Genomic DNA, 26,797 nt, shown 5'->3' with positions numbered 1-26,797 from the left:
AAATATGGAAGGAAAAGTATTTTAAACAACACAGATTTGTTTGCTGAAATAATGATTAACCTATCAAATTTCCTGAAACAAAGATTTAATTTTGACTTCTAAATTTTATATTATATTTAAACACATTATTTCTAGTATTATATTATTATTGTTAACTCTAACATTGCAGAATATAAACTCATTTCCTTTTGTCTCTTCATTTCTGAAGGGTCTGGGCCATCTGTATTCCTGCCTGGATAGGCTGTTGTAGTTTCCCATTGACCTTAATCACAGGGCATGGTACTACTAAGAGATGCCCTAATTGATCTCCTGTATTCCATGCATACCCGTCCTCCGTTGTGAAGTAGTGGACCGATTTCATCTTGATAGTCTGGGTCAATCACCCCAGCTAACACTGTAACTCCCTTCTTAGCCTGTTGACTTAAAGGTAAGAGGAGCCCAAAGTGTCCAGGTGGCAATCTTAACTTCCAGTTTAATGGAATCGTTGTTGTCTCTTCTGGTGGCAGCATTCCTCCCTGTGGAACTAACATGTCTAGGCAAGCAGAACATAATGTCACAAACACAGGAAGCAAAAATTTTGCTGGTGGATCACTAGGGGTGATGGTGAGTGGTTCCACTTCCAATTCTACCCCTTGATTCCTGGACCCATGAATCCTAGCTATGAGAGAAATAGTACCATATATTGGACACTGATTCAGAGCATACACAGCCTTCTGGAGAACTTTGCTCCAGCCCTGCAAAGTATGGTCACCTAGTTTGCATTGTAATTGTGACTTCAAAAGGCCATTCCATTGTTTTATCAATCCAGCTGCTTCAGGATGATGGGGAACATGGTAAGACCAGTGAATTCCATGAGCATGAGCCCACTGACACTCTTCTTTAGCCATGAAGTAAGTGCCTGGGTCAGAGGCAATGCTATGTGGAATACAATGATGGTGGATAAAGCCTTCTGTAGTCCATGGATGGTAGTCTTGGAAGAAGCATTGTGTGCAGGATAGGCAAACCCATATCCAGAGAAAGTGTCTATTCCAGTAAGGACAAGCCTCTACCCTTTCCATGATGGAGGAAGTCCAATAAAATCAACCTGTCACCAGGTAGCTGGCTGATCACCATGAGGAATGCTGCCATATCGAGGGATCAGTGTTGGTCTCTGCTGCTGGCAAATTGGGCACTCAGCAGAGGCCGTAGCCAGGTCAGCCTTGGTGAGTGGAGGTCCATGTTGCTGAGCCCGTGTGTAACCTCCATTCCTGCCACCATAGCCACTTTGGTCATGGGCCCATCAGGCAATGATAGGTGTAGCTGGGGAAAGAGGCTGAGTGGTGTCCACAGAACAGGTCATCCTATTAACTTGATTATTAAAATCCTCCACTGCTGAGGTCACCCATTGGTGAGCACTCTCATGGGATACAAATATCTTCACAGTTTTTAACCCCTCAGAGGGGTACATCTACATACCTCTTCCCCAAATTTCTTTGTCACCAATTTTCCAATAATGCTTCGTCCAAGTCCCTGACCATCCAGCCAAACCATTGGCTACGGCCCATGAATCTGTATATAACCACACATCTTGCCATTTCTCCTTCCATGCAAAGTGCACAACTAAGTGCACTGCTCCAAGTTCTGCCCACTGGGAAGATTTCCCTTCACAGCATCCTTCAGGGATGCCCTAGAAAGGGGCTGTAGTGCTGCAGCTGTCCACTTTTGAGTGGTGCCTGCATATCGTGCAGAACCATCTGTGAACCAGGCCCTAGTCTTCTCTTCCTCTGTCAACTGATCAAAGGGAACTCCCTGTGAGGCCATCGGTGCAGGATGGGGAAGAGAAGGCAGGGTGGCAGGAGTGGAGAACATGGACATTTGAGCCACTTCCTCATGTCGCTTATTTAAGCCTTCAGGACCAGCTTGAGTCCAATCATGTATATACCACTTTCATTTGATGATGGAATGCTGCTGTGCACGACCCGCTTTATGGCTAGATAGGTCAGAAAACACCCAGTTGAGGTTGCATGGTGACTTGATGACTCATAGTCAAATGTTCAGTTTCCACCAAAGCCCAGTAGGCCAAGAGTTGTCTCTCAAAAGGAGAGTAGTTAACTACAGAAGATGACAGGGCTTTGCTCAAAAATTCTAGAGGCCTCTGCTATATTCACCTATGAGGGCCTGCTGAAGGCTCCAAATAGCATCCCTATCTGCTACTGACACCTCGAACACCATTGAATTTACTATGTCATATGGCCCAAGTGGCAGAGCAGCTTGCACAGCAGCCTGGACCTATTGCAGAGACCTGTTCTGGACCCTACTCAAAACTGGCAGCCTTTCAGGTCACTTGATAATGGGCCAGAGTAACACACCCAAGTTAGGAATGTGTTGCCTCCAACATCCAAATAGGTCCATGAGGCATTGTGCCTCTTTTTTGGCTATAGTAGGGTCCAAATGCAGCAACTTATCCTTCACCTTAGAAGGAATATCAGGACCCACACCACTGGACCCCTGTAAATTTTACCGAGGTAAAAGTTCCCTGAATTTTAGTCAGATTTATTTCCCATCCTCTGGCACGCAAATGTCTCACCACTAAGTCCAGTGTGTTTGCTACTTGTTGCTCACTGGATCCAATCAGCAAAATGTCATCAATGTAATGGACCAGTGTGATATCTTGTGGGAGCGAAAAGTGATCAAGGTGTCTCCAAATAAGATTATGACACAAAGCCGGAGAGTTGATATACCCATGAGGTAGGACAGTAAAGCTATATTGCTGGCCTTTCCAGCTGAAGACAAATTGCTTCTGGTGGGCCTTATGGTTAAGAATGGAAAATAAGGCATTTGCCAAGTCAATGGCTACATACCAGGTACCAGGAGATGTGTTTATTTGCTCAAAGAATGAAACCACATCTACAGCAACTGCAACTGGAGTCACCACTTGGTTAAGCTTACGATAATCTGCTGTCATTTTCCAAGATCCATCTGTCTTCTGCACAGGCCAAATGAGAGAGTTGAATGGGGATGTGGTGGGAATTACCACTCCTGCATCTTTCAAGTTCTTGTGGTGGCACTAATCTCCACAATCCCTCCAGGGATGTAATATTGTTTCTGATTTACTATTTTCCTAGATAGAGGCAGCCCTAATGGCTTCTATTTGGCCTTTTCCACCATAATAGCCCTCACCCTTCCAGTTAGGAAGCTAATGTGTGTGTTGTGCCAGTTGCTAAGTGTGTCTATGCCAATTATGCATTCTGGCACTGGAGAAATGACCACAGGATGAATCTGGAGACCCACTGGACCCACTGTAAATTGGATCTGAGCTAAAACTCCATTAATTACCTGACTTCCATAAACCCCTGCTTTAACTGGAGGACCACGATGATGTTTTGGGTACCCTGGAATCAACATCAGCTCAGAGCCAGTATCCAGTAGTCCTCAAAATATCTAATAATTTCCCTTTCCCCATTGCACAGCTACCCTAGTAAAAGGCCAGAGGTCTCCTTGGGGAAGGATGGGAAAAAGATTAAAAACATAAATTTTCAGTAGTGTAGTGGGGTCCTTCCTCAAGGGGACCTGGCTTCCCCTTCATTCAAAGGGTTCTGGGTTTATAAACTGGCTCAAGTCTGGAAATTGATTGAGGGGCTGTGATTCTCTGTTTTATAGTTCAAATTAGTCTTTTGTCCATTCAACCTAGAAGTTTTCTGCTTATATAAATTAAGAAGGAATGCAGTAGGCTTTCTATCATTTTCAATTCTAGGAGCATTTTAATTAATTAGCCAATGCCAAAGTTCTACATGAGTCAGACTATTCTGATAACTGCTTTACCTCTGCTGTCCACTGTGATAGCTACACCCATCTTGCCTTTGATGGTTGAGTGCTGCCACTTAGCCCCTGCCACCCTGGGATCCAATTATTCCCATTGTATTTAAGTTTTGTAGTTGAGTGACTGCAGCTCCCACTGTTAGATGTGACACACAGAGAAGAGCAATTACAGAGCTCTTCAAAGATGCAAGTGATGCCCTCACAAATCTGTTTCACAAGGCATTAGTCAAGGGTATATCTTCTGGACCCTCCCAGCTTGGATGAGTAGGTCTAAAGTGACTAATCCACTCCACCATCCCAATCTCTCTAAGCCTTTAGATCCCTGCCTCTACATTAAACCAAGAAAGATCAGGCATTTCCAGCTCGCTCACAGTGGGCCATCTGTTAATCCATATTTCAGCTAACAAAGCAAATAAACTATTAGAACCTTGTTTAACTCCCCAAGCTGCAACATTAAATGCAGAGTCCATACTTAGTAGGCCCAAATCAATAAATTCAGCCTGATCCACCTCTGATCCTTTCACCATTATCCCACACCCTTAATATTCATTCCCGTGCCTGTTCTCCAGATTTCTGTTTACAGAAATTAGAAAACTCAAGCAGTTCTTTTTGACTGTAGTGCACCTCCTCATCAGTCACACTCTCAACCTCACCTCCAGGGGCCCACCAGGACTTTAGTCTAATTATAGGTCTAGAAGCAAACAGGGGTGTGGGGATGCCTGCTGAGGAGAATCAACATTATCTTGCCTGGCAACTGCCTCAGGGGAGGCCAACACTGTGGCCTCAGGCAGCATAGGGTTTATCTCCTCAGACAAAGTTGGAAAGGCTGATGGCAGCATGGGTTTGGGAAGGAATGTTGACATTACTGGGGATGGAGAAGCTGTTTCTTCTGGCAAAAAAGTTTCAATGGAGTTTACAAGCACAGTGTCCCCAGCATCATCAGGGTCCTCTCACATGTCCCCATTCCAAGTTGTAGGGTCATGTTCTTTTCCAATTAATGCCCTCACTTTAACAGTAGACACCTGGTGAGGCTGTGCATGCACCTCTTGTTGCAGGTCAGCCACTCACATGATAAAAGCTTGTGTCTGCTTTTCCACAATTTCAGCTTTTTCGCTAAAGGAGATAAAACTCTCATTCAGGGCAATCATAGCAGATTTGAGGCTCAGTATCTGCTTCTGAAGCTGGGAGTTAGAATTTCTGAGTTCATCATTTTCTTTCATTACTTTGTCAGGTGAACTGAGGAGCAACCAACCAACTTCATTATGTTCCTTAATTATATATACATATAGTGAAAGGTATTATGTATAGAGTCACTAAACTCCTTGCCTCTCATGGGTGGTGAATCAGGAGTGTCAAATGCATTTATTTTGCATAACTCTCTAAGCAGTTCATGCCAAGGATTGTCAGTATTCTCCATACAATTAGAAATAGAGTCCTTAGCATTTTGGGGTCTAATTATATTAAGCAGCCAACTCCAGAAACCCCAAAACCAATGAAATAACTGCATTCTTACCATTTTGTTCCTCTAGAACCATTTCTGGTACCAAAATTTGTATGAGGATTCCCTAGAGAGACAGAACTAATAGTGAGGGACTAGGTGGCTAAGTTGGCTGGACTTCCTGGGTCAATAGGGACTTCCCTAAGGGGACTTTCCCCTAAGCCAAAATGAGTCACAGCTGCAAGCTAAGGGTTTGAAACTTCAACCAATCATATAGGGAGTTTAAGCTCTAGCTGCAGTCTGATGTTTTTAACCAGTTAGGCCCACCAACCCACAAGTGGATAGAAAATAAGCTAATTCAACAGGGCAGAAAAAGGAAAAGGGGAGGGGTCATAAGGGAACATAAGCATAAGACACTCAAGCTAGAAACAGCAACCCTTCTGGGTCCCCTTCCACTGCGTGGAAGCTTTACTTTCGCTTTCACTTTACTTTTGCTTTCACTTTAATAGATCGTGCGGCTGCACACGCTTTGGGTCCATGCATTTCTCTAATCGAGCTGTAACACTTGCTGCTGCGGTCCATGGCTCCATTCCTTGAAGCCCACGAGACCAGGAACCCTTGGATTGAGAAAAAACCTTCAATTGGGAGGATACTTCTTATCTCATTTCTAGGGGCCCATCCGGGATTTCTCCACAGCAGTGAGTAATATTGGACCCCTTTCACTTGCTATTCTGTTCTATCTTCTCGCTAACAACTGGAGGAAAACACTGGGCAACTGTGGGCCACTTAAAAGCGACAAGCATGGCTGCCAGATTTAAGACACGGGTGTGAGGCTTTCCAGGAAAGGGCTCTCTAACAACCCCCAGCCCTCTGGGCTGGAAGCATTGGTGTGCCTGGAGCCAGTTCCACCTTTCCTGGGAAAAGCTGAGGGCTGGCTAGAGGCGGAAAACTATTGTCCCGAACTCCTGGCACTGACCCAGTCGAGATCATGGCACAGCGAGAAGCCTCTACTCTGCAGACACCCATGCATGCATTCTCTGCCTTCTCTGACCATGCCTCCTGGGTCCTAATGTCCTCAGAGATGACTTTCTTAAGTCCCTATCCTCTAGAATTTTTCCTAACCCTGAGTCTAAGAATCTTTTGGCTAGGAGCCTAAGTCAAATGGGGAGGCAATCCGAAGACCCTTGCACATGGTGTGCCCAGACTTATTCTTATGCAAATTGGTATCAATATACTTATACGGGACTTGTCCCTCATAACCTGTATCCTGGGCACTATCTGGGACATCAAACGGCATGTCAGTGGCTGATAGAAGGCCTAGGACATTTTCCCTTTTGTTGCCCTAAACTTACTCCAGATTGTAGAGGCTACTTTAATTACCAGCTTTCCTGCCTGGGGTCAGCGATTAGAACTGTAGAACTTTGGGCTGGGCATGGTGGCTCATGCCTGTAATCCTGGCTAGCATGGTGAAACCTGTCTCTACTAAAAATACAAACAATTAGCTGGGCGTGGTAGCAGGCGCCTATAGTCCCAGCTTCTAGGGAGGCTGAGACAAGAGAATGACATGAACCCAGGAGGTGGAGCTTGCAGTGAGCTGAGATCTCACCACTGCACTCCAGCCTGGGCAACAGAGTGAAACTCCATCTCAAAAAAAAAAAGGACTGTAGAACTTCTCGACTTGAAGCAGTCAGACGTATGGGCTGACAACAATGTAATAGACAATAGGTCCCCTGATCCAAGTCCAAAGGTCAATGAATATTCTTTTGAGGGAAAATGGGGTCAGAATTCGGGTACAAAAAGCACTGTTCCAACCTTGGTCCTCCAATTTGCCACTGCCTACTCTAAAACTGTTGTGCTCCAGTGCCATTTTCAAGGAATTTATCTTGCTGGGACAACTCCAAGCCCAGAAATATGCTAATTGGTGCCTGGTCTCTGAACTCAAAATACACCCCTAACCTAAGACCCACTCGCAGATGCAAAGACAACTGTGGGCATGCTGGTAAGGAGCCACTAAAATCGAGCAGCCCTGGGCCCTTTTTTCTGTGGCTAAAAAGAGGCAGGAAATGAGTGTGAGCAAAACTGCTATGTTAGTAAGCACAATTAAATCTGATAAGCAGAGTTCCATGGGTGATTGGGCACCCTGGAAAGAAGAGGACACTAGAACCATAGGGGATGCCCTAGGGAGAGTGCTCACTAGGTGATGACTAGGGGTGCAGGCACTCCTATGTTCTCCTTTCAGATAGGAGACGTTCCCTCAAAAGCTAAGCCACTCCTAAGGTGTAGTCTGGATAATTGGGACCAATTAGACCCTCAAATGCTGAAGAAGAAGCGACTTATATTTTTCTGCAGCACCACCCGGCCACAATATCCTCTTCCTGGAGGAGAGACATGGCCACCCAAGGGAAGTATAAACTATAATACCATCCTACAGCTAGATCTCTTTTGTAAAAGAGAGGGCAAATGGAGTGAAGTGCCATATGTACAGGTTTTTTCTCACTAACGGAAAACCCACAATTATGTAAAAAATGTAATATATATATCCTACCGGGGATCCTCAAAGCCTACCCCCATACCCAGGGCTCCCCACGGCTCCCCCTCTGACTAGTAAGGACTCTCCTTTGGCCCTAACGGCCCAAAAGGAACCAGACCCAAAGATAGTCAAGTAACCAAAAGGCGCCAATGGCCCTCGATTGTGCCCCCTCCAAGCCATGGGAGGAGGAGGAGACTTTGGCCTGGTGTGAGTACATGTCCCCTTTTCCCTCTCAGACTTAAAACAGATCAAACTGAACGGAGAAAAATTCTCAGATAATCCTGATGGATGCATAGATGTCTTACAAGGATTAGGACAATCTTTTAGTTTAGCATGGAGAGATATTATGTTGTTGTTAGGTCAAACATTAACTCCCAACAAAAAACAGGCCACCTTAGTTGCAGCCCAGGAGTTTGGGGATCTCTGGTACCTAAGCCAGGTAAATGATAAAATGACATCAGAAGAAAGGGAACAACTCCCCACAGGCCAACAGGCAGTTCCCAGTGTGGATCCCCACTGGGACCTCAACTCGGAGCATGGAGACTTGAGTCTCAGGCATTTACTGACTTGTATAGTAGAGGGATTAAGAAAGACCAGAAAAAAGCCAATGAATTACTCAGTGATGGCCACCATAACAGAGGAAAAGGAAGAAAACCCTACGGCATTTTTAGAGAGGCTAAGGGAGGCATTAAGAAAGCATACCTCCTTGTCACCTGACTCTGTTGAAGGCCAACTAATTTTAAAGGGTAAGTTTATTACTCAGTCAGCTGCACACATTAGAAAAGAACTTCAAAAGTCTGCCCTGGGCCCTGAGCAAAATTTGAAAACTCGATTGAATTTGGCAACTTCAGTATTTTATAATAGGGATCAGGAGGATCAGGCTGAGTGAGACAGATGAGACAAGAAAAAGGCCGTCACCTTAGTCATGACCCTCAGGCAGATGAACTTCAGTGGCTCTGAAAGAAAGAAGGGCTGGGCAGGCAACCCGCCTAACAGGGCTTGTTATCAGTGCAGCTTACAGGGGTACTTCAAAAAGGACCGCCCAAACAAAAATAAGCTGCCCCCTCTTCTATGTCCCTTGTGCCAGAGGGATCACTGGAAGGCACACTGCCCCCGAAGGCGAAAGTCCTCTGGGCCAGAGGCCACTACCCAGATGGTCCAACAACAGGACTGAGGGTGCCCGGGACAGGTGCCAGCCCATGCCATCACCCTCACAGAGCCCCGGCTAAGTGTAACCATTGAGGGCCAGGAAACTAACTTCCTCCTGGACACTGGTGCGGCCTTCTCAGTTTTACTCTTCTGTCCTGGTCAGTATCTTCCTGGTCTGTCACCATCAAAGGGGTCCTAGGACAGCCAGTCACTAGGCATTTCTCCTACCCCCTAAGTTGTGACTGGGGAACCTTATTTTTCTCACATGCCTTTCTTATGCCTGAGAGCCCTACCCCTTTACTAGGGAGGGACATATCAGCTAAAGCAAGGGCCATTCAAACCCTTAGCACACCCAGTCCCTACAAAGGATTAGACCTCTCAAAGCTACACAAAACTCTTCACACTCACTCCTTCTTGCTAAATTTATTTAATGTCACCCTTACCGAAATTCGCAAGGCCTCCAGCCAAAATCCAGCTGACTGCTTGATGTGCCTCCCCTTATGCTTTAAACCATCCGTCCCAGTACCTGTTCCCGAACATTGGAATGCCACCGAACTGAGAACAAACACCACAGGGAAGACATTGAACATTCTTAATAAAAAGAAGTGATAAATGTTTTAAATAATGAATGTGCTATTACTGTGATCAAAACATGACTATGTACTCCATGAATATGCATAGTTATTAATATTATTAATATTATTTAACAATAACATAAATTAAAAGTACATTAATCTAAGGTTAATTTATTATTGAAAAAAGAATATTTAAAATAAATTTAGAGTAGCCTAAGTGTACTGTGCATATAAAAACTATGGGTAGTGTACAGTTAGGTTCTAGGACTTTGCATTCGCTCATCACTCACTCACTGACTCACCCAGAGCAATTTTCAATCTGGCAAACTCCATTCTTGGTAACGGCCCTATACAGGTGTATCATTTTTTATCTTTTAAATATGTACCTTATCTATGTTTAGATATATTTTGATACCCAAATATTTACCATCATGTTACAGTTGCTTTTGGTATTTAGTACAGTAACATGCTGTACAGATTTGTAGCTCGGGAGCTATAGGCTATACCATATAGCCTAAGTGTGTAGTAGGCTATACCATCTAAGTTTGTGTAAGTACACTTTATGACATTTGCACAACAGCAAAATCACCTAAGGAGAGAGTTCTCAGAACATATACCAAAGGCTAAGCAACACATCACTGTATAATCAAAATCACAGGTTATTATCTCTGCTAATTTAAAATGATAATATTTAACTTTGTCCTTGACCTACAAATGTCTCAACTATTTAGTTCCTTTTGAGTTTGCATTTACCAAGAGTAGGCAGAAGAAATATATTCAAGTATAACAAATTTGGACTCTCTTATGATAGAAATCTTTATATAGAGCTTAACCCATCAAAATAAAATCTTTAAAACATATGAGCTTTCATATATAATGTGGACAGTTTCAAATGTGACAACCTATATACTACTGAGGAATGTGCTTCCATTGTATTCTTTAAGGAAATATATAAAGTACAAGAGTCCTGTGTGCCAGCATCACTTAATGATAGCTTTTTGGAGATTGTCTGCACTCTCGGAGCAGACTCGGCAACCTGAAGTTTATGACAATTTCAGAGCTTTGGCCTGAGTTGAAACAATTCTGACCTGGGAATAGGGAGCTGGATCTTATTGCTTACCAAGAAATATACCATAGTTAGTGTTCCTTTGCCAATTCAGAGTTTGACAGCCTAAGATCCAGGTATCATTTTTAGGTATATCTTATATTGATCTCTATTATACCCAAATTAAGCAAGTGTAAAGATTTTCAAAGATGTTCCCCTAAATCACATGGCTCCTACAACCCTTTGGTAGAAGAAATGAGACATCTGAGGGCATCAAGTTTAGACCCATTGAGATTCATCTCAGGGTGATTACCCTGGAGTGTTTGTGAAGGGAATCTGAATGACAGCGGAGCTCTAGTCTGAGAAAACCATTCTCATAATGCGCGTCTGAGATAGCTGCATGGATTCTATCGACTTTCTGATGGCTTTTATTTGTCTACTCAAAACAAAATTTTGCTGCAATAAAAATGAATCCATTAAAGTTCCCATTGGTGACATGTTAAGGTCAGGTGTTCAAACAATAATCCAAGAACCACCACGTCAGGAAAACCGAACTTGTTTCTTCAAGCCTCAGTAAAACACATACCAGTTATCTACAAGTATTCTGATAGAATGGTAGGACTTGAAATCCATGAATTTAGTAGGCTACTCTCTGCTTTGGAAAAATCTTTTGTTATCAAGTTGGTAATTTTTTTCAGCTCCTTCAAAGTGTGCTCTAAATTCACCATGTAGTCAAGGCCTACCTGATCATCATTTTAAATTGGAAACTTCCTCACTCTTTCAAAATTCTTGATTCTCATTACCCTGCTTTAGTTTTTCCATTGTTTGTTATCATCTATCATAAGTATAATATCCTAATTTAACATGTTCACTGTCTGTCTCTACAATGAAACTGAAAGTGCTAAGGGATATTGGTCAGCATTTTTGTTTCTATGTTTGACTTTTATACTGAAAACTTAGAATAGCATTTGGCACATAATAAACAGTACATAAATTTTTGTTAAAGAAATCAATGATAATACTTTTCTAATAAATTGAATTGCAAAAAGAAATGCTTATTGAAATTACAAATGCTGAACTAAGAAATTTACATACAATTATTCTAGATATTTCTTTCATCTGCATTATATTTTAACAGTTCCTTGGCCAGGATATCATCAATATACTATAGTAAATATTTGCAAGGCAATTTGATATGTCTTATTTACCTTTAAGCTTTTTGAGATGTGGACATTCTTACTAACATTTCTGGATCCTGGCATAGTATGTACATAGTGTTGAGTACATAGTAGGGCTTAATGAATATTTTTCTAATCTTATTGCATTGACTAACTTGCATGTATTTTCCTTTCCATGAATATGAATACCTGCAACTACATAGTCAGGAGATTTTAGTCAGTTAATTCCTAGAGCACAAATCTTCCCAATATTGTTTTATATATATCCAGTGGCTTCTCTGTGATACCTAAAAATCCTCTATTATTGCCTCAGTGGGACTTACCTTGGGTCATCTAGTATGTGTATTTATTTTTGCAAGAGTAAATAAGACAGTGTTTTAGTGAGTTCATTTGGGGTTGTTGATAATTTATCATTGTATATGAATATGTATTCATGTTTACTTACTGGAGAGTTATTTGATATAATTAAGAATTTATATATATAATATATGCATTATATATATGGAATATATATATTCTCTCTCTATATGTGTGTGAGTGTATGTGTGTGTGTATACATATTCTTTAAAGTTGCACGGGCCAGGCACTGTGGCTTATGCCTATAATCCCAGGGCTTTGGAAGGCCAAGGCAGGAAGATTTATTATGGCTAGAAGTTTGAGACCAGCTTGGGCAACATACTGAGACCCCATCTCTACAAAAAAATTTAAAAATTTAAAAATTAGCCAGGCATGGTGGCAAGTGCCTGTAGTCCTAGCTACTCAAGAGGCTGAGGCAGGAAAATTGCTTGAGCCCAGGAGTTTGAGGCTGTAGTGAACTATGATTGTGCCACTGCACTCCAGCCTGAGCAACAGATTGAGATCCTGACTCTAAAAAATATTAACAAACAGAAAGAAAAGGAAAGTTGCACAATGCCTATTCTATGGGATAGAAAACTTTCTTCTACTTCATGATGCTAAAAGTAAAATTTATATTTTGCCTCTTCTTACTGAGAATCAAGATTTTAGAGCTTCCCATTAATGTTGATGTTTTATAGCATCTGCCTGCACACTTTGCAGTTGTGTGTGAAACACAAATGGGATCAATTCATTTCTATACCCTTTATTAGGTACTAGCCTGGGGAAAGCACTCAACTGGCTTGTCTTGTGATTGTTCGGTGACAAACAGCTGAATCACTTCACTCCATCTTAAAGGAGCCATATTCATTCTCACAATTTGCCTCATTTGGTCCTGTCAAGTCATCTATGCTACATCTTAGGACTTCTTACCCCTAATAAATACCAATTTTCTGTTATTTACTCCCCTACTGCTCATAATACAAAAATCATGCTACACCTTCAATTCAACTTTAATGACAACCACATAATTTTCATGTTTAATGTTTCTCAATGTAAATCAAAATAGATATTACCCAATATTTTATACAAAAATTTACTTTTATATTTCATATTAATATTAATTTAACCAGAAAAATTACAAACATTCATGTGCTATTATCTCAAATTTAAAGGATAAGTTGTTGAATGCTAAAGCTGAAAAGGAGTTCTGAGAGATTCATGGTTTGATTAAGTCCGTCAAATCCTACCGTCTAATAGAGGAGACAAATAGAAAATTGCAACCTACTGTGATATGCACTACAAAAGTCTAAAGCATGAAATATTCAAAAATACAAAGGACAGACATTATCTGGATAGATGAAAACATAGAGTGTCTCCTGAAGTGTTGGGGAAGAGGAGAGCAAGTGAGGAGACACAGTTTAACTGAATCCGGAATGGTCAACAGAGATTAGCTTGGTGAGAACACTTTACTCACAAGTAGTGTCTATTCAAAGTTCAGAGATTAGAAAGAGCCCACCGAAGTTGCTTAGAGAACTGCACAAGTTCAGTGCGATTGCAGAAAAGTATGTGGCTGGAGATGAATGGGAGGTGCCGGCAGGAAATGTAGTCAGAGATTTTGAGAAAAGTCTAATTATCAGTTATCCATATTGTCATGCCAAAGAGTTTGGATTTATTATGATGGTCTTGGCAATATATGATACAATTAAAACAGAGTGCCCCTTTCAGTAAGCAAATAAGCATAAAGATCCGAAGTGCCAGAAGGAAATCTGGGGATATGATAGATTTTCAGGAGTCATCAGCATATGGATGGCAAGTGAGTTCATGGTATGTAGAAAAACAAGGAAAAGGACCGAGAGAACATTGTCAGCCCTTAAGAAATTTTAGACCAAAGAGTCAAAGGAATTAAGAATAGCATGAATAGCCAGGTGTGGTGGCTCACGCCTGTAATCCCAGCACTTTGGGAGGCCGAGGTGGGCAGATCACAAGCTCAAGAGATTGAGACCATCCTGGCCAACATGGTGAAAACCAGTCTCTACTGAAAATACAAATATTAGCTGGGTGTGGTGGCATGAGCCTGTAGTCCCAGCTACTCGAGAGGCTGAGGCAAGAGAATCGCTTGAACCCTGGAGGCCGAGGTTGCAGTGAGCCGAGATTGTGCCACTGCACACTCCAGCCTGAGGACAGAGTGAGACTCCGTCTCAAAAAAAAAAAAAAGAATAGCATGAATGAGGATTGCCAGAGAATGCAAGACACATTTCTCAACAGTGCTGCGGCAGACAGTTCTTACTACATCCTTTTTCTTTCTTTTCAACCACATCTGCTATTTTGTTTAGGCATCAACATGGCAGCAAATTCTGAAAGTTTCCTCTCCTGGCTCCAGGAAACGATCTGGATTCACTGGGTATCAGCCAGTATTTGTCATGCTGATCAAAATTGTGAGAAGTTGTCTGGAAGTAAGCAACTAAAGCTAAGATGAACTCTGCTGAGACCTACTTGCTACAAAACATTTGCCCTTATAAAAATCGAGGGCTGCACAAAAGAAGAGCCTTTTTTGTGTGTCACTGCTTCTGCCTTTCTGTTTTAGAGGCTCTTGTTTTAGGATGCCAGCACTGGTAGTCTTTGCAATCAAAGGACGCACAAAGAAGGCTTCTTAGTGTCTAGACCTTGTTGACAACTGAAGTCAGCTCTACAGGCTTCCTCGATTTATTTTTACACATCACAAGTAAATGCCTTTGCTGTGCAAGCTGTCAGTGTGCATAAGTGTTCATTTCTGTGTGTGTTTGTGTGTGTGTGAGAGGGAGAGAGACAGAGAGAGAGTGAGTTTCTAGCTTGCATCCTAATAAACTATCTGATGTAGATGAGGTTGTTCAATGTCCTAATCTTATAAAGAAATAAAGCAGCTGGGCATGGTGGCTCATGCCTGTAATCCCAGCACTTTGTGAGGCTGAGGCAGGCGGGTCACCTGAGGTGAGGAATTTGAGACCAGCCTAGCCAACATGACAAAACCCCGTCTCTACCAAAAATACAAAAATTAGCCGGACATGTTGACTCGCTCCTGTAATCCCAGCTACTTAGGAAGCTGAGGCAGGAGAATCGCTTGAACCTGGGAAGCGGAGGTTACAGTTAGCGGGGATTGCATCACTGCACTGCAGCCTGGGCAACAGAGTGTGAGACTGTCTCATAAAAAGAAAAAAAAAAGAAAGAAAGAAAGTAACAGCTGAAATAAAACACAAAATCCAGCTGTATAGTGAGTGTTGGAGAAACACAATTGAAAACAAAATAATCTCCCCAGTGGTAGCAGAGAAAGACAACTGCTTTATTACTGAATAGGCTTTAAACCGGAATATGATACATATCACATGGGATCTGCTAAGAGATTATGAAAACAGAAAGAAATCTTTCCTTTTATCAGCCAAGCAGATACAACCTATTATGGGCATGATTTCAAGATAAAAGATAGCTCATCCTCAAGTAAGAATTTAAAGTACACCCTAAATTTGCTTGGTAATTAGGGTGATCTTCTGTGTTAACTAGTTGGCTTCATTCAGAGAAGAAACCAACTTCACATATCTTTATGACAAGATACATTTTTGCAACATAAAGCAACAATTAGGCTCCTGCACTCCAGTGGAAACTGTGAGATTTGGATGATCTCTTCCTTGTTTACATTTCAAAGATGTGGCTTCCAGGTCTCTGGGAACGATTCACAGGTCATAAAGATGACAAAGGCCAATCCAGCTTTCAATAGAATTTATATACATTTCAAAGAAAGGAGAAAGTTCTCGCAAGTACAAGTTTTCTAAAGTAAATGCTCTAAGAAAAAGAAAGGAAGGGAAATGCCTTCCTTTCTTTTTTCTTTCTTTTTTTATTCTTTTTTAATTATTTTAATTTTTTTGGAAGGCAGTCTCGCTCTGTCACCCAGGCTGGAGTGCAGTGGCATGATCTCAGCTCACTGCAACCTCTGCTTCCCGGTTCAAGCAATTCTTGTGCCTCAGCTTGCCGAGTAGCTGGGACTATAGGCAGGTACCACCACGCCTCCCTAATTTTAATTTTTGTATTTTTAGTAGAGGTGGTGTTTCATCATGTTGGCCAGGCTGGTTTCTTTTCTTTCTTTTTTTTTTTTTTTTTGAGATGGAGTTTTGCTCTTGTTGCCCAGGCTGGATGGAATGCCAAGGCCCCGTCTCGGCTCACTACAACCTCCACCTGCTGGGTTCAAGCGATTCTTCTCCCTCAGCCTCCCGAGTAGCTGGGATTACAGGCATGTGCCACCACACCCAGCTAATTTTTGTATTTTTAGTAGAGACGAAGTTTCAACATGTCAGTCAGGCTGACCTCAGGCAATCCGCTGGCCTCGGCCTCCCAAAGTGCTGGGATTACAGGCATGAGCCACCGCACCCTGCCTGGCCAGGCTGGTTTCAAACTCCTCTACTCAAGTGATCTGCCCACCTCAGCCTCCCAAAGTGCTGAGATTACAGCCACGAACCTTTGCGCCAGGCCTTCCCTTATCTTCAAAAGGGAGAATTAAGCATCTTTTTTTATTTGCATTTGTTGTTCTATGAAGCAGCTTCAAGAAGACCAAAAATGAGGCCTGGATCTTAAACTTACACAGAGGTCAGGTCCTGATTCTGCAAATATTTTTAAAATTTCTGTTCAAAATGTAAGATATTTACAAATGACTTTTTGCTGTAAGAATTAGTCATTCAAACCAATGTGTTCCCATAGCATTTGCTTCATAAATGATTATACTCAGTAAATTGTCTTGCAAATAGAATGATCAATCTATTTTTCTGGGGATTGTAGCTTATCTGTCTTTGCAGCCCTAATGCCTTTCACAGTTCCTGATACAAGGAAAGTGATGAATAAATACTTATTCAACACAAATGTTTGGTGATTATTAAAGCAACAATTAACATGTCTTTTTTAGAAAAAAAAAAAAAAACAGAAAAGAATTCTCCTGAAAGCATTACTATTTATGTAAAATTTCAGAAAGCCTAGGTTAAACCTATCTAATATCAGTAAAAAGGGTAATGTTTATTATAAGTTAATATGGACTCGACATAAAATATTCAAATTTATGTCTTAAAAACCTATCATGACTCTTCAGAAAGGAACAAGTAGCTTATTAACAAACTTCAACATACTTCTATTTGGAGTTAGTATAGTTTTTTTTGAAATTGTGTATTTAATGTCTAAATGCTAATCATTTCACCTGATGCGTTTATTGTTCAGTAAGATAAGAGTCGCATTAATTTTGCCCCTCACAGGAATGCACTTAAATAATTACACCAGCCTTGTCATGGATGCTGCTTTGAAGAACAAAGATGGTAGAAATATCTTACATTCTGGAATATTTACATACTCTCATTTGTCCTACTTATTTATGAGCCTGAATACATAAAGGATGATTATACTAAGACACTGAAGGGTATTTCAAATTACAACCACTATATATCTTTTCTTCCCATGAGGATGTTTTTATTATCTTCACTATGTCCTTGTTATCTGAACTGAAACTGACTTTTAAGTTTGGTTCTAAATTAGTTGCCACAAGCCGAGATATTTTATTTCAAATAAATATTGTTACATAGCTTTGAGATCTTTGGAAATGAAAGATTTATTTTCAGGCTTAGGACTATTCCAAAGATTGCTGAATGTAAATTAGTGTTATAACCCAACTTACTGGCTAAAATTGTTCAGTAAAAGTCCTGGTCTTACTAGTAAATTCCAGTTAACTCTAAATGTAACTGAAGACAATTCATTTAATAACTTTCTTCTCTAGCTGTTATACTCAATTTTACTTTGTTCAAGGTGGGTCTTTATGCATGGTCTGCTTTGGAGAAAAAGCGATGTTTATATCTCCCATCTTTGTGACTAGTTAACTTCTTGTTCAGTTTGTTTTTAATACTAGTGAGAGACAGGACGAGCTGGATTTCCTAGGCCGACTAAGAATCCCTAAGCCTAGCTGGGAAGGTGACCGCTTCTACCTTTAAACACAGGGCTTGCAACTTAGCTCACACCCGATGAATCGGATAGTAAAGAGACCTCACTAAAATGCTAATTTGGCAAAAACAGGAGGTAAAGAAATAGCCAATCATCTATTGCCTGAGAGCACAGCGGGAGGGACAATGATTAGGATATAAACCCAGGCATTCGAGCCAGCAACAGCTACCCGCTTTGGGTCCCTTCCCTTTGTATGGGAGCTCTGTTTTCACTCTATTTTACTCTATTAAATCTTACAACTGCACTCTCTTCTGGTCTGTGTTTGTTACAGCTCAAGCTGAGCTTTCACTCTCTGTCCACCACTGCTGTTTGCCACTGCCGCAGACACGCGCTGACTTCCATCCCTTCGGATCCGGCAGGGTGTCCTCTGTGCTCCTGATCCAGTGAGGTGCCCATTGCTGCTCCCGATCCGACTAAAGGCTTGCCATTGTTCCTGCATGGCTAAGTGCCCAGGTTCGTTCTAATCGAGCTGAACACTAGTCACTGGGTTCCACGGTTCTCTTCCATGACCCACGGCTTCTAATAGAGCTAACAGAGCTGTAACACTCACCGCATGGCCCAAGATTCCATTCCTTTGAATCCGTGAGGCCAGGAACCCCAGGTCAGCTACCACCAGGCTAGCCACCATCTTGGAAACAGCTTGCGGCCATTTTGGAAGCGTCCCATTACCGTCTTGGTAGCTCTGGGAGCAAGGACCCCCAGTAACATGAGGACTCACACAGACTAGTAAGGCAACTTTCCATAAGGAATGACATTGCATTTTTCTGAATAATGTGGACTGGCAGATGTTGTGTGTAAGTGTTTGCTGAATCATCTGATTGAGGCATTTCTTCTTAATCATAGGTGAGGGGAGCCAGTGGCAAACTGTAAGATGTGCCACTGAGATCCCCCTTCAAGTTCAGTTCTTCAGAGTCTGCTTCAGCTGCGTGAAGTGCTTTTACCCTAAGTCTCCCCATCTTCTTCAGACCAGCCGGCATACAGCAACTGAGCAGGGTAGGAGTATAAGGGGTAGTTCATTTGAGCCTGACATGGGGCACTGAGATAGGCAATAGCAGCTTCAGAGCCATTCTGAGTAGCGTGATGAAACCTCAAACCATCCCATTCTGTCCTCCCTGAGACATGAATCATCCCTTTGTCCAGCACATATAACCATGTTGTCCACATTACTGGCCTATAATTAGTTACTTAGTAGCCAGCTCGGTTATCAGAATGACTATGGTGATATCGATGTGCTTGTGCTTAAGTAAACCTTATTTTACTTAACAATAATCCCAAAGCTCAAGACTAATAATACTGGCATACTGTCATAATTTTTTATTGTATTATTAGTTATTGTTGTTATCTCTACTGTTCCTAATTTATAAATTAAGCTTTATGATAGATATGTATATACAGGAAGAAACATAGTATATATAGGATATGGTACGACCTGCAATTCCATGCACCCATGGGGGGTCTTGGAATAGATCCACCGAGGATAAGAGGGAACTACTGTATTAAGTAATGGGGCCACTCCTCTTTGCATACGTTACATTCCAAATGCATATATTCTTTCCACTAGAGCCACAGAGCCATCAAAGATCTTCTATTATCTATATGCTGCGTCCTAGATGATGAAACACAATTCTCAGGAAGTATTGGCTCCAAACTGGCATTTTAGCTGTGCAGGCCTTTTCAGCACTCTCTCACACTGACAGCTTCTGGGTGGGTCAGTACGTCATCTCATGGTCATAGGCCCACTTACTCTTCTCCTTTACCATAAACTAAGTCTTGGTCTAATGGAATAATAATGTGTTTTGATGCCAGTGGAACCAAAACTCTGCAAGTCCACAGATAGTAATGTTTACTGTTGCTTTACAGGTAAGAATGGTACCCCCCTACTAAGAAAGTGTGTATGGCAGGTAAACACTGAGCACACATGGATATAAACACAGGGATAATAGACACTGCAGACTACTAGGGAAAGGATGGAAGGAGAGAGACATGGGAGAAAAACTACCTATTGGGTGCTATGCTCACTACGTGGGTCTAATACACTATGTAACAATTCTACACATGTACCCCCGTATCTAAAATAAAAGCTGTTTTTTTAAAAGAAAAATTGCTGTAAATAATGGAAAGAAAATGACAGGGCTAATATTTTGGGAATCTTAGAAAAGAATTATATTCAAATTACATAAGAAGAAAGACAGAGTCGGGTGCGGTGGCTCACGCCTGTAATCCTAGCACTTTAGGAGGCCGAGGCAGACGGATCACGAGGTCAGGAGCTCGAGACCATCCTGGCTAACAAGGTGAAACCCCGTCTCTACTAAAAATACAAAAAAAAAATTATCCGGGTATGGTGGCGGGCGCCTGTAGTTCCAGCTACTCGAAAGGCTGAGGCTGGAGAATGGCATGAACCTGGGAGGCGGAGCTTGCAGTGAGCCGGGACCGTGCCACTGCACTCCAGCCTTGGCGACAGAGTGAGACTCCGTCTCAAAAAAAAGAAAAAAAAAAAGAAGAAAGACAGGAGTTATTATCTTAGTCTGTTTTGTACTTCTACAAAAAAAATACCTGAAATTGGGTAATTGATAAAGAATAGATTTTTTTTTTTTCTCACAGTTCTGGGGGCTGAGAAGTTTAAGTTCAAGGCACCAGCCAGTTTGATGTCTAGTAAGGACCCCATCTCTGCTTCTAAGATGTAACCTCCAGAGGAAAGAAACACTGTTCTCCACATGGCAGAACAGTGGAGCTAAAACTCATTTCTTAATGTCCTTTTCAAAAGTATTTGATCTACCCATGTGGGCAGATCCCTCCTGGCCTAATCGCCTCATAAAGGCCCACTTCTCAATATCATTACACTGATGATTAAATTTCAGCGTTAAGTTTTGAGATAAATATTCAAACCATGGCAGTTGTCTATTTGAATTTTACCTTCAAAAACTCCGTTCACTTATATTATCATGTGGAACACCATACTTCTTTGAGTTTGCTTCTTCCTTTCTCTCTCTCTCCCTCTCTGGATATGCCTTCTCAGTGTCTCTTCATTCAATTTATTCTGTCTGTTCTTTACATGTGTCTATTATTGAGAGATCAATGACAGTTCAAGTTGCTTCTTATTTTTAATGCTTTTGTATCTCATTTTCATGCCTTTAATTATTATTGATGGACTGATAATTTCCAGGTCTCTTCTGCCAGCTCAGATATCACTAATCACAGCTGGATTTATATATACACTGCTTATGAGACATCATTCAAATCATGCTGCTCAAAAGATGACCCAAGATCTTTTTATTCTTAACTGGGGTGTGTGTGTGTGTGTGTGTGTGTGTGTGTGTACATCTTTCTATACACGACACTACTATAGTTCACCCACACCCTAAGTCAGAGACAAGTTCATTGACATTGTCACAGGCCACAGCCAATCATGTCACAGCAACTCTTAGTGAAATTGTACACTTTTGAGGCTGCTAGCCCAGAATGTGAAGCCAGAATCATGCTGTTTTTAAGTAACTACGTGATCTTGGGCAATTTGTGCAATTATTCTATCCCTTAATTCCCACATCTGCCAAATTGAAATTAAAGTAGAACTCAACACAAAGGTTTTTGTGTGGGTAAAATACATTGAGATATACACAGCGCCTTACTATATAAACACTGTATGTGTCAGCTACTGTTGTGTTAAGAGTATTATGATTGATAACATCTACTAAATCTCTCTCTCGCCTTACTGCTATTTCTCTAATTCAGAATTCTATTATTTTGCAAGTATCACTGAAAAAGCTAACTTCTCTCTTCAGTGTTGCTGTTTCATAATCCTTTCTATATATTACAGTGATTTTACTAAAATGGGAATAGAATTAAGTTGCTTCTTTAAATAAAATTCTTTAATAAGATTATATAATATATTTTATTATATGATCATTCTTGTTCCTCCTGACTAACCACCTTATTAGGGATTTTCTGGTTATTTTATCTTTCTACATAAAATTTGGATTTGACTTGACAGTGATTGCGGAAAACATATTTCTATTTTGCCATTATTTTATTACATTTATAGATTAATATGGACTGAATTGTCATCATTATGATGTTGTGTTTTTATTCCAAGACATTACATGCTTATATATTTGATAACAACTTACTTTAAGTTCTCCAATAGTATACAATTTTTCCCCTTAAAAATCATGCACATTGATTATGAGGTCTGTTTCAAGTTTTTTGCTTTGCAAAATAGGGTGTTTTCTAATTATATAATGTATATGTTATGAACTATTTATTTTTATTTTGTATTCACCTACCTTAATCATTTGCCATCATGTTTAGAGTCATTTTTTTCAGTCTTGGCTCCTGTATACTGAAAGTGTTGAATCGTATCATCTGTAAATGATGACAGTTTTGCCTCTTTATTTCTTATGCCTTGTCAAATCTTAATAGCTAGATACAAGAATATTTGCTTCTAGCTATAGCAGATGAACTTGAATATAGCCATCCGTCTTGCTAGACTAATTAGTAAGGCTGGATAAAATATGAAAGATAAAGTGTTAGAGGGCACCTGAGATCTCTACCAAGCAGCAGAGACTTGAGGAGGCAAGACTCCAGAAAGAAGGGAAGCACATAAACATAAATTAGATGTTCTGTTCAGATTTTTGCTATGACACATTTGCCAGTTGAAAGAGGCAGAAGGAGGCATCTAAAAATCTTGAAAGTCAAACTGTCTATGCAACAACATTTTGGACCTGGTGTGCTAAAAAATGAATTCACATCAGATTGAAGAAAAGCACAGGGAGATGTGAATGATATGGGCTGCTGAATAAGATGTGTCTTCAACACAATCTCCTATTAGGGCAAAATTCAAATAAAAGAAATATATTGAGATTATATAGAATTTTGATGCTGACTGGCCATGAATTCCAGAGGACACAATAAAAAAATTTTCTGAGTGAGAGGAATTGGAAGATAAGGCTATCTGGATAGCTGTATCAGGACAGACATGGCTGAGAACAAATAATTGTCTGTAATAGAACATGCAAATTCTTCCTTAGAATGTAGTAAAGGGACTCCTTTATTCATATGTGCTCCTGCCACAACTCTGAATGCATAGATTCTTTTGACTTGACATAAATGCCACAGATTTGTTTTTATTTTAATGAAGTCCAATAACAGGAGATCCACCAATAACCTGGAGGTAGCAGGTAGCTATTGAAAGGAAGTTTATGAAATTATTAGAAAATGATTTATTGAAACTTTCTATTACCCATCTCCTAGCATTCAATATCTGCCCTCATTAAACTCTACTAGTAAATTTAATAATCACCTTTTGCACAATCAAATTTTTATTATTTTGGTTGTTAAGTGGGACATAACACCATGGTCCCAAATTTTCTATATTTTAAAATGCATTTTCTTCATTTATACTTCATACCATTCTACCAATTTTCCTAACTGGTTGAATTCATTGCTTTGATTTCTGATTAATTTCTCATATTGTATAATCCTTGAGAGAAAATACGTCCTTCACACTCAAATTGTTTGTTTCCAGTGCCATATAGTTAAACCTTTCTTTTATTCGGCATGTATTTCAACCTTCCTTGTCTCTCCATTAACCACTGTCCTTTCTTCCCTTCACAATTGGTAAATGTTTTATTTTGCAAAGAGGATAGGCTAATTAATTTACTAAATATAATAGTTTTATGTAGGAAAATACACTGAAATTAGGAATATGTATTCAAAATGACATATAACAAACCCATTTTTTTCCTTATCAATGTTATCACCCAACAATGTGGAACAAAATGATGTTACTCAAAGACTTCCCATTTGTCATGTTGCTTAAAGTCATAGATTCCAAGAACTTAACAACATCGTCAAGCAAGGACTTACTGTACTTAATATACAAATAGTTTTTTTAATACCAAAATGTCTCCTTCCTTTGCTGAATGCTGATTGCATACATTAAATCTCCAGTTCCTCGATGAATGCATATTCTTTTAAAAAACAAGCTGTCATAACCTATTATAAGAGCATAGCAAATTAGCAATATACGTTTACCTCCTTTGTGATAGATAAGTGAAGCAAGTTTTGAAACCAAGTTAATAATTCTGAATAAATCCACAATTTTTTTTAAAATGCTGAAATTTTGTGTAATATTTTTCAAAGGTCTTTAGTGTAACAAATTAGTGAGATGAAATGGTAAAATGTGCCAATTCGCTTCCTACCATAGTTCACTTATATATCACTTGCATTTTAATCCTTATAGATTTTAATCCTTATAGATTTCTGAGAAGACCATTATCCTTAACAAACTAACACAAGAACAGAAAATCAAATACCACATGTTCTCATTTATAAGTGGGTGCTAAATGATGAGAACATATAGACACATAGAGGGGAACAACACACACAGAGGCCTTTCAGAGGATGGAGGGTGGAAGGAGGGAGAGGATCAGGAAAAAATAACTAATGGATACTAGGCTTAATACCTGGGTGATAAAATAATCTGTACAACAAACCTCCATGACACAAGTTTACCTGTGTAACAAACCTACACTTGTACCCCTGAACTTAAAATAAAAGTTAAAAAAAGGAAAATAAATTTAAAAAGAATATTATGTGGTCTGAACACTTATTTCTGTTAATCAAATTTCTTTGTAATCATATAATTATTTAGTACCACCCACTTGTACAACATTTATTGCATACATCAGTGTTTATAATCATTTCTAACAAATAAACTTTTTTATTAAACATTGGGTAGAATTTTATATGTATGATTATAATTTAATATACTGCATCATATATACATACGTAAGATGCAATATATCAAGTTGATATAAGCAGAGCTTATCTGCCTGAATTCATTGTGGAGATCATGGTATCCTAGATCCTCAACTTCCAATGATATCTGTTTACTCTTCATTAGCCACCACTGTAAAAGAAACAAGATTTATTAACCACTTGATGGCTTTCTATTCTAGAATATAGTGACTGCATTATCGAAATGCATATGGCATGTCATTTGGGAGAATAACCTGGTATAGAAGACAGTGTCCAATACTCAGATCAAAAGAAATGAATTTGCTTCCTGATTGTGTCAAAAATCAGTGGTAATCTGTTAGCAATTCACTTAAACTCTTTTAAGGCTTAATGTAGTCATACAACTATGAATGCATTATCAAGCGGAGTTCACATCATTTTCAGAATTGTTGTTATATTATTTTATGAACCTCTGTGTTTTGATTATATAGTTGGTAGCTAGCTGCTGCACTAAACTGTGAGAAAGAAAATGACACCTAACATCCTGAACTAGGTAAGGTTATGTGTTACTACAAGCTGACTTGATGCTCCCAGCTAGAGAACACTGTTCTCCTGGTGAACATAAACAATCTCACAGAGCATAACAACATCAGGTCACGTTGAAGGGATGATAAAGTGAGATAAAACAAGGTCACCATGTACCCCATGAAGTACTCGAACATCCTCCTCTCTCTGCTAAAATGAATTATGGCTGCTTCTTTACCTAGTCTATCCTTCCTGTAGATAAGATTTGTTGAGGTTCTCAATTATGAACTTGTCTGTCTTCCTGACAGCATCCAATCATGATCAAAGCCTGAATCCTTGGACCCTCCCCTGAATTACCGGACCAAAGCTCAAATCCTGTAATAGGTCTTTCTCTTACTGAGAGAGGCACTATGGCTTTCTTTGCTGTGTGTTTTCCTTTCATGCAAAGAGTCATAAATTCAACTTGTTCAACTATCACTGTGTTCTTGGTGGCCTTTGTCTGGAGATATTTGACAACTGAAATTTGTTCAATTTAAGTAATGCTGATGCTTTGCAATGAATGCTATTTGAAATCTGTATTAGCAGTTATATAACTTCTGCTCTAGCACTCTATGTATTTACTTCTAAAATTAATAAAATTCTGACATGTTTATAATATTCTATACTTACATGTGTTTCTCCTTCAAGATTTTAATTTGTTATGTTTCATGGTAGTATTTGTTTTAGTAATGTACTTATGTGATAGTTATTATATGTTTTAAATCATATCTCAGTTGAGTTTTTCATCCATAGGCCACATTAATCATTTTAATAAGCCATGCAGGTTATATCAATTCATTTTAATAAATAATGTGATTTAATAGTTTACCTTATTAGTATAAACCTAACTCTATTGATCTTGAAATGCCTAAAACATGATTTTTTTGTCTTTTCTTAAAGTTATTACCAATAATAAATCATATTGTTTTAATTCTGAAATAAGTATTTGGAAACTATTTCAATTTTGAGACAGTGAAATATGTTATTTTTGTGGTTGCATAATTTTATTATACAGAATTAACTGACCATATTGGATAGTTTCGATCTAATATACTCCAGTATGTCTTTTATGCTAAGTATTTAAAATGATAGAAAATATATTTTGCTCACATTGACAGAATTAAATTTGAGCAATTTTCTCTTTCTCTTTGTTTAACTGAAGATAATTGGTGCATCTACAATAGAGGTCATTGCTGTATCTTTAACATTTCATCTATAATCCTTATGAAAAGATTGCAATATTTGCCTTCCTTAATTAAGTATTCAGTTTTGCAATTTTTAAATCACACCAATAATAAGCATTTTTTAGGAAGAATGGAGTAGAGATTACAGAATTATTAGTTTTATAAGCAAAGCATATGTGAGGTAAGTACTATATTAGGTCATATTTATTTCCTTTTGACCTGAAAACTTATTGAATCTTCCTGAAGTTCTTATTTTAGGTAAAAA

The 26,797-nt window shown here is 39.7% G+C and overlaps 1 long non-coding RNA gene across 2 annotated transcripts, besides 6 other annotated features; it reads left to right on the top strand.

Moving 5' to 3' along the window:
• Positions 5,345 to 5,624: an enhancer, noted in NCBI's record as "active region_22429". NCBI's record gives its function as "activates an Ori minimal core promoter by ATAC-STARR-seq in GM12878 lymphoblastoid cells {active_cell/tissue: GM12878}" and the evidence as "EXISTENCE:reporter gene assay evidence [ECO:0000049][PMID:35858748]".
• Positions 5,635 to 5,994: an enhancer, noted in NCBI's record as "active region_22428". NCBI's record gives its function as "activates an Ori minimal core promoter by ATAC-STARR-seq in GM12878 lymphoblastoid cells {active_cell/tissue: GM12878}" and the evidence as "EXISTENCE:reporter gene assay evidence [ECO:0000049][PMID:35858748]".
• On the top strand, positions 5,776 to 25,966 carry LINC02100 (long intergenic non-protein coding RNA 2100). Of its 2 annotated transcripts, none has more exons than XR_001742616.2 (2): positions 5,776 to 5,934; positions 18,321 to 25,966. It is a non-coding gene; the product is annotated as a long intergenic non-protein coding RNA 2100 (long non-coding RNA). The 2 variants fall into 2 exon arrangements; XR_007059121.1 differs by having other exon boundaries at positions 17,314 to 25,966.
• Positions 6,455 to 6,654: an enhancer, noted in NCBI's record as "active region_22427". NCBI's record gives its function as "activates an Ori minimal core promoter by ATAC-STARR-seq in GM12878 lymphoblastoid cells {active_cell/tissue: GM12878}" and the evidence as "EXISTENCE:reporter gene assay evidence [ECO:0000049][PMID:35858748]".
• Positions 6,845 to 6,974: an enhancer, noted in NCBI's record as "active region_22426". NCBI's record gives its function as "activates an Ori minimal core promoter by ATAC-STARR-seq in GM12878 lymphoblastoid cells {active_cell/tissue: GM12878}" and the evidence as "EXISTENCE:reporter gene assay evidence [ECO:0000049][PMID:35858748]".
• Positions 15,568 to 16,238: an enhancer, noted in NCBI's record as "OCT4-NANOG-H3K27ac-H3K4me1 hESC enhancer chr5:18735803-18736473 (GRCh37/hg19 assembly coordinates)". NCBI's record gives its function as "activates a minimal SCP1, AML or CMV promoter by ChIP-STARR-seq in naive H9 embryonic stem cells {active_cell/tissue: H9 hESC(naive)}" and the evidence as "EXISTENCE:reporter gene assay evidence [ECO:0000049][PMID:30033119]".
• Positions 18,076 to 19,275: an enhancer, noted in NCBI's record as "MED14-independent group 3 enhancer chr5:18732766-18733965 (GRCh37/hg19 assembly coordinates)". NCBI's record gives its function as "activates an origin of replication core promoter dependent on BRD2, BRD4, P300/CBP and CDK7 cofactors, and independent of MED14, by STARR-seq in HCT116 cells {active_cell/tissue: HCT116}" and the evidence as "EXISTENCE:reporter gene assay evidence [ECO:0000049][PMID:35650434]".
• Positions 25,967 to 26,797: the final 831 nt, after the last annotated feature.

Source organism: Homo sapiens, chromosome 5 (genome assembly GCF_000001405.40).
Source record: "Homo sapiens chromosome 5, GRCh38.p14 Primary Assembly".
In the NCBI taxonomy this organism is placed as follows: Eukaryota; Metazoa; Chordata; class Mammalia; order Primates; family Hominidae; genus Homo; species Homo sapiens.
This window is presented reverse-complemented; position numbering and strand designations above follow the sequence as displayed.